This window comes from Homo sapiens, chromosome 5, assembly GCF_000001405.40.
Source record: "Homo sapiens chromosome 5, GRCh38.p14 Primary Assembly".
In the NCBI taxonomy this organism is placed as follows: domain Eukaryota; kingdom Metazoa; phylum Chordata; class Mammalia; order Primates; family Hominidae; genus Homo; species Homo sapiens.
Window position 1 is genome coordinate 3,415,746 of NC_000005.10, and position 14,903 is coordinate 3,430,648.

General features: G+C 46.7%; 1 long non-coding RNA gene across 1 annotated transcript in view; it reads right to left on the reverse strand.

Moving 5' to 3' along the window:
• Window positions 1–1,406: 1,406 nt before the first annotated feature.
• LINC01019 (long intergenic non-protein coding RNA 1019) overlaps window positions 1,407–14,903 on the reverse strand; it is a 118,943-nt gene continuing 105,446 nt past the window's right edge. The window contains exons 3-5 of the long non-coding RNA NR_033898.1: window positions 6,537–6,877; window positions 5,326–5,559; window positions 1,407–3,571 (exon numbers count right to left, since the gene is read on the reverse strand). This is a non-coding gene — a long non-coding RNA (long intergenic non-protein coding RNA 1019). The remainder of the gene's footprint in view (window positions 3,572–5,325; window positions 5,560–6,536; window positions 6,878–14,903) is intronic.

Consider the following 14,903-nt stretch of genomic DNA (forward strand, 5'->3'; position numbering starts at 1 on the left):
GCCCCTGAGGGTGAACATCTGTGCAGAGCATCATTCCCTCCTGAGGGGGCCACAGACCCCTTCCTGAAAACTCTCTGCTCCTACTTGGACCTATCCAGGGCCATCCCCTTTGATTGTCGTTGTCCCCTCCCAGCCAGGGTTTCCCATGTCTCTCTCTGTCTCCGTCACCTGTTCTCAACCCAAGGCCCTCTAGAAACAGGACACAGAGCCTAGTGCTCTTCCTGCACCTTCCATAGACCCCGTTTCCCCAGGGAAGGAGGTTGTGTGGCCCCCAGGCCCCAACCTTTCCTCACCTGTCCTCCCACACCTGCCCCTCCACTAGCTTCTGGCTTCTCCCAGATGCTCCAAACCCAAACTCGGGCTCCCATTCCTGCTCCTCCCTGTGTCTGGAAGGTCCTTCCCTCAATACCCCCAGACTGTTTCTCGCTCACTGCCTTCCGGCCTCTGTGCAAAGTCACCTTTGTCGTGGGGGTTTCTCACCACCCTAGTTAACAATGAGCACAACCATTATATACCCAGATCCGCTGTGCCTCCTCGCAGTGATCCTTCTCCAGTCCTGCTGCACGAAGGACCCCAGGGGAGTCAGGTCACTCTGTTACTGATGACCTGCACCCCCCACACACCGATGGCAGCTCCAGGAGGGCAGGATTGTTTGTTTTTATTTTGTGTGCTCTGTGTTCCAGGAGAACAGAGCCTTACCTGTAACAGGTGCTAACAGGTATGTGTCGAATAAATCTTCTACCCTTTTAGGGTCTGCGGGCACAGAAAAAGCGCTCCTCCTGCCCACACTGCCCCTTCCACCCCCACGCCATCCACAGGCCTTGGGAGTTCAGGGGTATCCCCTCCGCAGAGGAACAGCTGCCCTGTGACCCCCGTGCTGCGCCTCCCTGCCAAGCACACAGGAGACCTGTGCAAAATTCCCCTCTGGGGAGGGCCCTCTCCCCACAAGGAACGCCCCCCAGGGGTACCTGTCTAGAACGAGTTGGTTCATGGTAGACCCACAGCAAATATCTCAGATATCTGAGTAGAAATTGGAGACCGATCACAAGAAAAAACCCTTTTCAAAAACAACAACAACAAAACGTACAGGCTACCACCCGAAGGAGAGAAGCCCGCCATGGCCCTGCTCGCCCCCTCTCTGTTCCAAGGGTTCCTGTTGAAGGACTCTGGTGGGAGCCACTTCCATCCCCACTTCAGGAGGGCTGCTCGTCTAGGGGAGCCCTGGCAAAGACATGCCTGTGGATGTGTCTAGAATGTATTTAAAATACTTTTTTGAAGAGGGCTTGAAGTTTTCTGAGAGTTTAGAACACTAACTTTTCTGCAGCAGATGACTTCATAATTGCTGCGCCGCTGAAAGGAAGTGATACTGAAATACGCTTTGCGGGGCAGGGCTGGGAATCCTCTCATGGTGACAGAAAAGTCGTTTATTGAGTGAGAAAATCATTGCATATTTTCAGGGAATTTGAGAACCTTTGTATGAGAGATCAAGCCAAGGGGAGCTGAAATTCAGTGAATGCCGACCTTTGAAAGAGTTGAAAACACTTTGCACAGACGAGAAAACATACAGAAGATCTCAGATGCTTCCTCTGCGTCAGGCTCTTCTCTGAATTCAGGGAAATTCAGCAAGCAGCACATGAACTAAAAGAGCACTAAAACGTGTTCAGTGCTGTGCTCTGGTTCCCTGTCTTGGGCACTGAGAAGCAGAGGACAGCCCGTGGCCGCACTGTCCGGAGGCCCCTCCAGACTCTCCGAGGTGACCCCATGCCCAGGCACCTCTGAGGGCACCATCCAGGGCGAGCTGGATGGTGGGAGCCTCCTGGACAGGTAGACCCTCCCCTGGGCTGAGGCTTCATATGGACTCCAGGCCCGGGTTCCCAGTGAGGAAAGTCAAGGCAAGGAAGCTCGCTGGGGCACTCAGAGCCTGGTGCTAGGGCGCATCTCCCCCGGCGCCCTCTGCTGCTCACTTCAGCTCCTGGACAGCTGCGGCCTCCCTGTCTATCTCCTAGAGCCTCCATGGGGCTGTCTGCTCCTGCCCTCCAGGCGGCCGTGTCACCTGGCTGCATTGACACCTGGCCAACTTGCCTGTAGAAGGTGTGAGGGGAAGAGTAGCATTGCCCTCGTGGTCCCACCCAGTGATGACAAAGGCAGATGCTGCTGCTGGCCACACGGCCCCTTCCCTACCACGGGGCAGCTCCAGCCCCTTCCACGCTCAGCTGCTGCCTTGTGGGGCCGTGCACAGGTTTCTCCAGTGAGGCCACCTCCGGCCTATACCCACACACGTCTTTCCACCCTGCCATGGCTATCCACCTTCCAGATGGATTGAACTGTGTACCTCCCCACAAATCTTCTGTGCTTAAGTCCTAACCCCCAGCATCTCAGAATGTGCTCTTATTTGGATACACAGTCTTGCAGATGTCATGAGTTCAGACGAGGTCCTGTTAGAGTAGGTGAGCCTCTAAGCCACTACGGCTGGGGCCCCAACAGAAAAGGAAAATTGGACACATCCACACACATAAAGGGAGAGTGCCACGTGAAGGTACAAGCTGTGCTGCCACGAGCCAAGGAACCACCAGGAGCTGGAGAGGATGGGCACAGGTCCTCCCTAGTGCCCTCAGAGGGAGCCTGGCCCTACAGCACCATGATCTGGGGCTTTGGGCCTCCATGGTGTGAGAGAATAAATTCCTGTGGTTGAATCCCCTCTGTTCCAGCAACCCTAGCCAGCTAACACTCACCCCACCAGGGCAGCACGGGCTGGCCAGCCTCCCTACTCAGGTGTGCATTCCCATGCAGAGAGAGAAGCCATGTGGCATGTGCTTGCTGACCCAGAGACTTTAGGCAGAATAAAAGATTTTAGAACAAAGGCAATTCCATCCAACTATTCACATTAACAAATAAACAGGGCTTAGAGCAATCCACTTGAGAGGGCGTAATGACCCAAAGCCACCTAAGACCCAAACTCTCAGTCCTGGCTCAGTGTCCTTGCTGTTTCTTGGTTCCTCTCTTTAAATTTGCAACATAAACTTACCTAGAGGAGGCACTCTTATCTGACTTATCGGGAGTGTGGGTTGCTCCAGAGTCTCTCCTCACCACCACAGCCTCCTCAAGTGCGCGGCACAGGACCCTCCAGGGTGGGCACTATTCCATGGAGAACCTTCCAGCACAGCTCAAATGCTCACACCTTGGTGTCAAGGGGCATCGCTGTGCACACTGCACCTTCCAGATGCAACTGAGCGCTCCTCAGAGAACCAGTACTTTCCGAAGCCGTACTAGTACAGAGAAGGAATGCCAGCAGGGACCCCTGCTCTGTATAGTTTCCAGGCAAAAGGGCACAAGATGGGGAAACATATTCATTCTTGAGTTTTCTGTCCATAAGAGCGAGGACCCCAGCGGCTGGGTGCTGAGACTTTGGGGCCTGCCTTCTTAGCGCGTGGATGGTGAAGCTGCAGAATGGGGCAGTGTGAGAACCGGTGGATGGGAAACGGCCTCTGTCTTTGAGTCACACGTTGAGAGAATACCGTCATGAACTTCAACTGCATGCTTTCCAGGAAAGTGGAGAACTAAAAATAGCAACCTAAGGACATGGAAAAAAATACAAGTTTCAAATGAGGAATGGGAATATCTGTCCTGGTCTGAATTACCTGAAGAGCTATCCTGGCCTCCGCCTCTGCTGCTAAGACAGGTGTGGCCCTGGAGCCGTGTGTACATGGACAGAGTGGGTCCACTGTGTCCACTGGTGATTCTGACTCACCAAGCACTTTCCTCTGAACAGCTGAATGACTCGAACACATTGTTTAAGGGCAAGTCCTATGGGATGGCTCCCAGGAACCCCTTCTCTACAGCATAGATGGAACAAGACTCAGGAGCGGGGGTGAGGGGTGGGAGGTGTGGGGGCAGAAAACTTTTTGTAAAGAGTCTTCCAGGGTCCTAAAACTGAAATATTCTTGGTGTGTGTTCTAAACATAAAACAGACTCGTCTCTTAAAAGTTCTCCCCAAAACCCCAAATGACTGACTTCTTAGAGGACACTGTTGCTGTCTTCTCACTCTCTGGAATGCGGGTGGAAGAGGGGAGCCATATGAAGGAGAGGTCCAGTGAGGAGGTGAAGGGAGATGTTCACAGGGAGATGCTAAGCAAACACCTATTTGAACACTAGGAAAGAATTAAGTTCATGAACCCAACCATCTCCAATGAGTTTCTGTAATTTCTCTGCCAACCTCCTCAGAGAAGGAAAGAATGAAAATGTGAAAGATTGAGTTAGAGCCAGCTTGTGAGACCAGGGCAACTGAAGCAAGCCCCTCCCTCCTGGACACCTGAGACCTCCCAGGGGCATGGAAACTTTAGCCATCAGCCAGGACCACTCAGAGGCCAAGAGGACGGGCAACGGAGGATGACATGGCCAGGTGGTGGGATCATGGAAGGGGGACTACACCTGTGGGCAGGTGATGGGCTCACGGGGGGATGGCGGGGAGAGTACACTTGTGGGCAGGTGATGGGGTCATGGGGAGATGGTGGGAGAGTACACCTGCGGGCAGGGGATGGGGTCACAGGGGTTGGTGGGGAGAGTACAACTGCGGGCAGGGGATGGGGTCACAGGGGAATGGTAGGGAGAGTACACCTGTGGGCAGGGGATGGGGTCAAGGGGGGATGGTAGGAGTGTACACCTGTGGGCAGGTGATGGGGACATGGGGGGATGGTGGGGAGAATACACCTGAGGGCAGGTGATGGGGTCACAGGGGGATTGTGGGCAGAATACAGCTGTGGGCAGGTGGTGGGGTCATGGGGGGATGGTGGGGAGAATACACCTGTGGGCAGGTGATTGGGTCACGGGGGGATGATGGGGAGAGCACACCTGTGGGCAGGTGATGGGGTCACAGGGGGATGGTGGGCAGAATACAGCTGTGGGCAGGTGGTGGGGTCATGGGGGGATGGTGGGGAGAATACACCTGAGGGCAGGTGATGGGGTCACAGGGGGATGGTGGGCAGAATACAGCTGTGGGCAGGTGGTGGGGTCACGGGGCGATGGTGGGAGAGTATACCTGTGGGCAGGTAGTGGGGTCATGGGGAGATGGTGAGGAGTGTACACCTGTAAGCAGGTGACGGGGTCACGGGATGAACCTATAGTGCGACCCCAGCTCCTCAAGCAGCCCAGACTACATGAGCCCTAGACTGCAGAAGCACAATTTCTGGACTCCTCCAGCCAGTTCATCAGTCAAAGCTACAATTAATCATATGGGATTTTCAGTGGACCCTTTAAAAGGTCCTTTAAAGGAAATGGGTCAGCACATGTGATTTAAAATAACAGTTTATACATTTACAACGTACTTACCGCAGGCCAAGCATTAGCATCTCATGTCATCTTCACCATGATCCTGGAGGAAGGTAATTCCTGGTGGGCAATGGGATGCCTGAGGCCCAGAAAGTCGTGCAAATACTGCCAGCTCCCAGAAATGGAAGAGACAGACTTTCGCTCCTGGGTCAGAAGCCCTGGCTCCTGGGCAGTGTGGAAGCTGCCCCATTCTCCAGAGCAGGCACCATGTCCCTGAAGCATCTGGGGTGCAACCTAGGCATAGGTGAAACACGGGATCCACAGTTAGGCTGCGTAGCATCAGGCCAAGTTTGTTTCCAAATATTGTAAATATGAACCTTTGCTTGAGTCAATAGCTCTCAAGTGTTTTTTTCCCTTTAAAATCACAATTTTTGCCGAAACGAACTGGTTATTCATGTATTATAAATTCATCCATTCAAATAACCACATATGCACCCATGTCAAGAGGTTGTAGTGATCCAAAGGGAACCAAGACAAGACCCTGTGGACCAAACTTCCGGACTTTTCCTGAAGCGACTGAGCCACATCCTGGCGATATCCTTCGCACGTGATGACAGGGGCAGAGGGAGGGGGAAAGACAGAAAGACAAGAAAGAAGACAGCAAGAGAAAAAGAAAGAGAGAAAGAGAAAGGAAGGAAGGGGAATAAAAGGAGGAGGCTTGTTCTAGCTGGAGATTTAATAAGGTTCTTTCTTCCTGTTTTAATGGTAAATAGAGCAAAGCTTCATGACAGGTGTTCCTTTTAAAATGAAATTATTAGGCTGTGAATTGCAGAGGCTGGAGAGCAAATAAAACAAACAAACAAAAGATGATTTCTATTTCCTCACTGGAGGGTCTGTCTAAACCAATGAATGCAATTTAAAGGCAGGGCCTGCAGAAGAGCGGTCTGCATAATGCGCGGCAAGGCCCATCGTGTGTGTGTAGAAAAGACTAAAAATAAGAATGGATAAAGGGAAATCTAAAGAGAAGAGGATCATCTTGGCCCTGAAAGCACAAGGGAATTGCACTTACTGCACCAACCAGAGACAAGCTGAGAGGCGGCTTCTGAGAGCAAGGTAGGGAGCCAGTGGTGTCAGCAGGGATGCACTTGACTCCAGCCTGACAATCTGGAGTGGCCGGGGTTCCTATACTCCCCTGGCCCTGACATCTCCCGAGAGCCCCCCTTCTCCTGGTTGTTCGTTGGGACGCGACTCCTTCCAATGCGTCCCCTTACCTGGCTGCTCGGTGCCAAGCTGTAATCTGTTTTTTCTCAGTGCTTGCTCCATAATGATCCCTGACTCCTGCAAAGGCTGCAGCATGAATGAGATATGACTCCGCAGCAGCAAGTCGGTGCTTAAATTGAAATATTATGGGAAGGGCAGCCCACTGCAGACTTTTGATGTAGCAGCTCATGGCTCGGGGGGAGCTAGGGACACGGAAGCCATTGTCCACTGTACTCAGTTCCTCGTCATTTCCAGGGGAGAGCGGAGAGAGCAGAGAGCGTCAACACAAATAATTCCAACTGGATCTGCAAAGTGAGTGCTGCAAGCTGAAGATTTGCCCCCTGGCCGGTATCTGTGGGAAACAAAGCCAAGAAGAATCATTCAGTATATTTTAAATGGCTTAAAATTCATTTATATATGGCAGGCACCTGAGAGTCACTTCTGGGCAGAAAGACAAACACATGAATACAAGCCATAAATGAAAAGAATCAACCAGTTACACCATTAAAAATGTCTGAATATAATGCCAGTTACTACGAGTGTGGAGGGTGCATCTCTGAGATGGTGAATTTCTTCCCACCTAAAAGCAGGGTGACCTAGGAGGAATTGGTAGTGCCCTTTCACTTATTTTCAGACAGGCTCAAGATTACTTTCAATAAATAAGTATAATTGTTCATAATTTGAAGAATGTACTTACCTGATGACATGACTTTAAATGTCAAAAAGCTAAAAGATCACACACAAACACACACACACACGCACCTACCTGTCAAAACTAATAAATGAACCCAGCAAAGTTGCAGAATATGTAATCAACACACAAAAGTCAGCTGTGTTTTTTATGCTAGTAATAGACAATCTGGAAAGAAAATTAAGAAAACAATTCTATTTGCAAAAGTATTAAAAAGAATAAAATACTTAGAAATAAACCTAACCAAGGAGGCTTAACACTTGTACTCTGAAAACTATAAAACATTGCAGAAAGAAGTGAAAAACAAATAAATGGTGAGATGTTCCCTGTTGAGATTGGAAAACTAAAGAAGTCAATACATTGGAAAAGTGATCTACAGATTCCATTCAATCCCTATCAAAATCTCAACCTTTTTTGCAGAAATAAAAAAATAAATTATCCTACAAATAATATGTAATTTCAAGAGACCCTGAACAGCCAAAACAATCTCAAAAAATAACAAATGTGGACATCCCACACTTCCTGCTTTCAAAAATTACTACAAAGCTACAGTAATCAAAACAGTGTGGTATGCTGTGGCATAGACTGACATATAGACCAAGGGAATGGAATAGAGATCCCAGAAATATACCCTCATATATAAGGTCAAATGATTTTTGACGAGGGTGCCAAGACCAGTCAATGGGGAAAGGACAGTCTTTTCAACAGATGATGTTGGGGAAACTGGACATCCACTTGCCAAACACAAAAAACAAGAAAAACTCTCAGGAACCTGGACCCTTACCTTTCATTATACATAAAAATTAACTCATAATGCATCAAAGACCTAGACATGAGAGCAAAACTATAAAACTCTGGAGAACACATAGGGAAAAAGCTTCACAGCATTAGATTTGGCAAAGATATCTTGCACGTGACACCAGAAACATGAGTAATAAAACAAAAAAATAGATAAATTGGGCTTTAGGCCCTCCATTATTAAAATTTAAAAATTTATTCAATGAAGGACATAAACAACAGAGGAAAAAGGCCACCCACAGAAAGGGAGAAAACATTTGTAAATTATATAGTAATAAAGAAATAACAGTCTAGAATATATAAAAATATCTACAACTCAATAACAAAAACAAACAACACGATTTTAAAAAAATGGGCAAAAGACTTGAATAGACATTTCTCCAGAGAAGACAGACAAACGGCCAAGAAATACATGAAATGGTGCTCAGCATCACTAATCATTAGGGAAATGCAACCGAAGAACAATAAAATACCACTTCACCTCCATTTGGATGGCTATTATTCAAGACAAAGAAAGTTGATGAGGACGTTTAGAAATTGGAGCTCTTGTGTACTGGTGGCAGGAAGGTGACATGGCAAGCCACTGTGAAAAATGGAATGGTAGTTCCTCAAAACAACAACAGAGAATTAGCCAGGTACGTTGGGGGACTGTGCATAGTGGTGTGTGCTTATAATACCAGCTATTTGAGAGGCTGAGGCAGGAGGGTCACTTGAGCCCAGAAGTTTGAGGCTGCAGTGAGCTATGATGGCACAACTGGACTCCAGCCTGGGCGACTGAGTGAGATCCTATCTCTGAAAAGATGATGATGATAGATAGATAGATAGATAGATAGATAGATAGATAGATAGACAGACAGACAGACAGACAGACAGACAATGACAGAGCCATGTAATTAAGCATTGGTTCTTCCAGGTTTACATCCAAAAGATGTATGCAGGGATGTGTACAGTGTAGGCAGTGATAAGTCACTGTCCTGTGGAATCTTACAGGGAACAATCATTTCAGTTGTTTTCTACCAAGTGGTTAGAATATTTTATTTTATTTTTTCATCGAATTGAATTATTTTGCATAAGTTGAATTACCTGACTCAAACAAAATATTCCAACCAGTTGCTGCTTCCACACAGGTAAAGGTTTAAAGAGTTAACCAGCCTTTCCAATGTCCATGATCAACATCAGTGGGCAATTGGGACAAATTAACACCCCCCCAAAAAAAAACAAGTTTGGCTTTCTCTTATGGCCTATAAAATAGAAAGTCAAATGGGGAGAGACACAATTATCTTGATAGTAGAGCCAAAAATAAAACAACTCCTGTCTTGCAGCTGTTAACTTTGCAAGGGAATAAAGACAGCAATAAACCAGAGGCCTGGCTTCAGTTCTGTAGCTGCCTGTGCCTGTTGCTGTCCTTAATTGCCTCAGAAAAAAAAAAGAAAAAGAAGAGGCTAATTACAGCAATACTACACATTTCACAGAGGTGCTATAAAAGTAAAATGAGATAACGGACATGGAAACCCTTGAAAGTTTAGGCATGATGCACAGTGGGTTATGAGTTTTATTACTAAATAACATATCTGGTCAACGAGGGTTACTGTCCAGAAGAACTTCCATCTATTAAATTCCCTCAATAATCTAGGAAAGCATAAGTTATTGGGAGGATTAGTTGACACTGTTCTCATAGAATGTTTTCCTGTCACACTTTAGCCCATGAAATGCCTTAGATTGTGTGTGTGTGTATGTGTGTGTGTGTGTGGATGGGTACAGAATTAATGGTAAAAGAAATAAGAAAAAAAAAATATGGCCAACATATTTCTACCATGTGGATGTTTCTGTTTTGAGTCCCCTTTGAATTCTACCCTATGTAGAAGAAAGCACATAGAATTTCCATTGGGGGGTGGGGAGACAGGGTCTCACTCTGTCACCCAGGCTGGAGTGCAGTGTCACAATCATGGCTCACCGCAGCCTCAAACTCCTGGGCTCAAATGATCCTCCTGCCTCAGCTTCCTGAGTATCTGGGACCACAGGTAGGCAACACCATACCCGGCTAATTATTTATTTATTTTTTTGAGGACATGATGTCTCCCTACATCACCCAGTCTGGTCTCAAACTCCTGGACCCAAGTAATCCTCCTGCCTTGGCCTCTGAAAGTGCTGAGATGACAGGCGTGAGCCACTGCACCTGGCCACACAACACGCAATTTTGATGCCAGCAAAGAACCTTCTGTTGCCATCCCCCACACACAGAGGAGAAGGATGCCCTGCCCCCATCCCCAATGTTGTTCTCCCCCTCAGTGTTCAGCCCGAATTGGGTCTCCACCTGGGATCTCCTCTGTCCCGCTCCTGCCAGGGGCTATTTGTTAAGGAGCAGGGAATGGGGGGTGACTCACCCCACACCCCAGCTTTCATCAGAGCTGCTGTTTCTGTGTTTATATATATCGGGCTTCTGATTAAGATTTTTTTTTAAATTGGTTTTACATGGCTTTGAGGAGAGAAAAAGGTGAAAACAGATTTAGATGGTGATTGCTCTATGAGTATCTACTGTTTACTTCTTAGAAAAGTCATCTCCTGAGTAACTGACCATGACAACAAGGAGAATTAAAGTCCCTGAAATAAACCAAACAAAAGCTGAAATTCTCTTTTTGTGCTTCCAGGCCTCTCCTCTCATCTCCAGCACAAATTTAAACAAATAAAACAACCATTCCTTACTTCTCTAAGTGATTTTTCTGTTATGTGACTTACTACAAAGTATGATTCTTTGCTGGTGACTTACCAGCACTTTGAAAGAGTGAAATACATTTTTCCAATCCACACACGCAGTTGTATTCAATCATTAAACATTTCTCGTCAATCTTCAAAGCATCTCCATTCCCCCTGTCCCTGGAGGCTCTAGTAAGGGTCCATCTTTACCCAGAACGTGTGTTTTTGCCATGACACAGCTTATGTCATTTCTATGAAACATTTTTGTAATCACTAAGATTTTTAAAAAAACATATGTAAATAAACAACAGTGTACATATTGGGCTTAATCTCACTTTGAAACCAGAAACATGTCAACTGACAAGCAATCTTTTCTATCTCTGTTCTGACATAGATAGCCCTTGCACCTCTTGTCATTGGACTCATTCATAAAATGCATCATGCTTATCTTCAGATTGCCAAAGGGTACAGTTGAGAATGGGAGGTGTGAATGTTGCTAGTTCTCTGGGTAAATATTTGTACTGGTCAGAGACAATGGAATCCTACTGTACACCCAGTGGCCTTTTTCACATTCAACTTGCTACCAGCATCTTCTCTACTCAGAGATAAAGACAATGCAGATAAAATGAAATACATGAAGAACTTGTTGATTAGAAGTTTACTGAATTATCTAAATCAAGTGACTTGTGTTAAGGCTCTTTGCTAGGGAGACCAGACCTATGATGGCTGGTGGTGAATTTTTTACCTGGAATATCATCCAGAAAATATTTACTTAGAAAATCATTACAATGCAAGAAACAAATGTTGATGCCCTCAAAAACTCATAAATTAGTGGAGCTGAGAGCAAGTTTTTTTTTTTTTTGAGAGCAAGTTTTGAGGTGAACACAATGTACACTCTCACTGTGTAAACTGAGTCAAGGAAAAGCTCTATGACTGTCCTTTCTGATCAACATTTCCGTTTTTTCTACTATACATCTTTGTATTTTGCTTCTCCTACTATTCTAACCTTTGAGGATTTTTTCATTTACTTCCATTTAGCATCTTGACAAATCTGGGTGGACTGTAGGACACAATCCACATTCAATTTAATGGGAGGTAAGTCTGAAAAAATGTCCCTGTTGAAGATCTAGTTTGGGTGGAGCCCTGGATCTTACAGTCTTATTCATGATGCGGAAGCATCACACTGCTCTCGCTGTATACAGAAAATTCCCTTTGAAGAAAGAAAAAGAAAGTCAGCTCCTTTTGACAATACAGAATACAAATGTACGAGCTGTGATGAAAATCACCAAACTTGCAGTTGGGGAAATTAAGCATCCATTGATTATTGTATTAAAAACTGTAGTGTGTGAGCAAACAAAACGTTGGGCTTTCCAAGTTGTATGATAAAGTTAATGTGCTTAAGATCATCAATCTCCACTGCGTGGAGTGACGCCTTCAGTAATTTTGCTCCTGTCATCAAAGCAGCCTCTTGGGGCGGATGGTTGCCCACGCCTGTAATGAAGCACTTCATGCAGAAGCAGCTGTCGCCTCACCTGTTTGCCAGCCCATCCGAAGACCGGAGAAATTCTCCAATTTAGCAAGCAAACTTAAGTCATTATTAGAAATGACAGGGAAACCTGATGAAATTGTACTTTCAATTGGAAAACAAAATTGCAATCAGACCAACATGATTTCCTCGTGGTCTGACCATGCTCATGCCAGTCGAGACGTGGGCAAATGTATTTAAAAGTCATAATGGAGCATTACCATGCGATCTCCTTTCACCGGCCCTTATTAATATAAAACTTCAATTTGCATGTAAATGCGGTCAACTTTCATATCATCAAAATACATGAGGCCTGGGAAAGTAATGAATTGAAGTTGGATGCAGCAATTACTGACGTTTATAAAGAATTTTAAAGAGGTCAGTCTAGCCTTGGCTGAGAAAATGAGGAAATCAACAGGGAATATTGTCAATATAGCAACCGGGGGAGTTGGAGCCAGTCCCAGGTGTTGAGAGCGAGAGGATGATTAATAGAGAGGGAGCGCGTCGCCTCTCACCCATGAGGGCTCGGCCAGACCCCAGGCGCAGCGGCAGAGCTGCATGAAAAGGTTCTTGCTAGGTCCTCGCTCCAGCCGCCTGGTGGTGCGTTCCGGGGGGAATGAAGTAGCAAGTGTTTATGAGCCAGCCGTGCTGAAGGTTTAATTGGGCTCCACAGCCTTTCCGCTCCCTTCAGTAGTTGATATGCAGTTTAACCTTTTTCTCCCACCTCAGACACACCAGGGCCACTGGGATTTTAATAAGGCGCTCGCATGATGGCTTGGCTAAACATTGCCTTAGTTGCTAAATTGAGCTAAACTGCCTCATTGCGTTGTAATGGCAATTCATACGTTGCCTAATTTTTTAAAGAGGAAATATTTATCCTGCCTGCATGTTTCATAAATCCTCAACCACGTGACCTGATTTGGGGGGATTTTCTTTGCCTATTTGTACAAACAAGTTAACAGGCGATGTAATTTTAAACATGCCTGAGAAATCAATGCAGAGGTGGCCATGCTGCTGTAATTTTGGAGGATTTAATCGCAGATAATGCAGGGTCAGAGTTTGTCTTCAGGATTTGCTGGCCACGTTTTCACAATATTACACAGATAGGCAGGGCTTCTCATGACCAGGTCTCCAAGAAGCTAGAAATTACACAGCCTCTTACCTAAAGAGGCCAAGGCGGGGTCCATGTCCCACTGCTGTGGAGGGGAGCCTGGCCTGTGATGTTTTCTGCTGTCCATCTAATCTTTGCATTAACCCATTAGGCATCTCTTCCCTGTTAGGCTGTTTAAGAGGCATATACACATTCACTATAAATGCAGGTTCCTTTGGAATTCCACACACCTTTTTGAAATAAATAGATTTACTGTCTGCTGTTTTTAATTGCTTGATTCAAGGGAAGCCTCTGCATCAGGCACTTCCCATGCTTGGTTTGAGGTCACCCCACCGGTCGGGCATGGTGCCAGTCTCTCGCACCAGATTCTTCATTTGACTCTGCTGTCCCCATATCCGTCTTTCTTTATTTTTGGCTCCTTTATTGTTCTTCTTTCCTGACAGTATGCATAATTATGGATGCCCAGCCAGCTTCAGAGCTATGCAAATATGTATCTGCATTAATACATGTATTTGCTGTCTTCAAAATCTACATCCTAGACATGAGATTCCAGGTATAGAGTCTAAATGTGATCAGTGTTGAGAGCTGGCAAAATCTCAGTCTTTGAATACACAGTATCCATTAGTGACAACTGGCTTAGCACCACTTACACCCTTTACCACTAGTACTTAAAAGAAAGCTCTGGAATTCATGTTAGTAGGAAAAATTCCTGTCCCCCAAAAGCAATGGAAAATGGGTAAGGTTGAGGGTTATTTACTGAGCAGGGAAAAGATTCTCCAGGTATTGTGGGCACCCTTCAGTGCCTAGATTCTGATGCATGTGTCTCTAAGAGTTAGTGTTTCCCCAGGGCTATAAAACTTCACGTCTGTGTTTTTTTGTATACACTATCTCATTTGTGAGCTATATCTGAATGTACTTTAATATAATGACTTGCTAAGTGAGCATGCTGTGTTGGAGGGTCTTTTTCCTGGAGGGAGTCTGCGTCCAGGTGCGTGTGGGGGATGGGGAGTGGACGCTTGAGGAGCAGGTGCAGAGGTCCAGGCAGCAGGGGGCTGTGGGTGCGGGCACTGGCGCAGCTGATGCTGGCACTGCAGCTCCTTCTGAAATGAATGCTTTGTTCTGACTCAAGACTTGGCCTCAAGTCAGGCCATGGGCATAGCAGGGGTGGAAGAAGTGGGACAGGGCACTGAGGCAGTTCTCCACAGAAGGACGATGGCACCGGCAGGAGGGGCTGAGTGCTAGGCACTCAACCACACACAGTCTGGAGGAACCCAGGGATGAGCCACCCAGCACTCCCACTCAGGAGCCTGCCTCTCTCCGGAAAAGAATCAGCGCACACTTCATGCCTCTGCCAGCCGACAGATGCATTTGGCATTCCCCAGCCAGGTCCCTCGCTGCTCCTGTGAGGGCAGAAACACGTGTCTGGATGATCACCGAGGTCACAGCCAACTATAAGGCCCACCAGCCCCAGCTGTGCCCATGCTGGCATCACCCTCAGCCTGACACCTCACCTTGCCTTGTGCCTTCCTTCTGCCATCTTCTGTGTGTGTCCTGGAGCC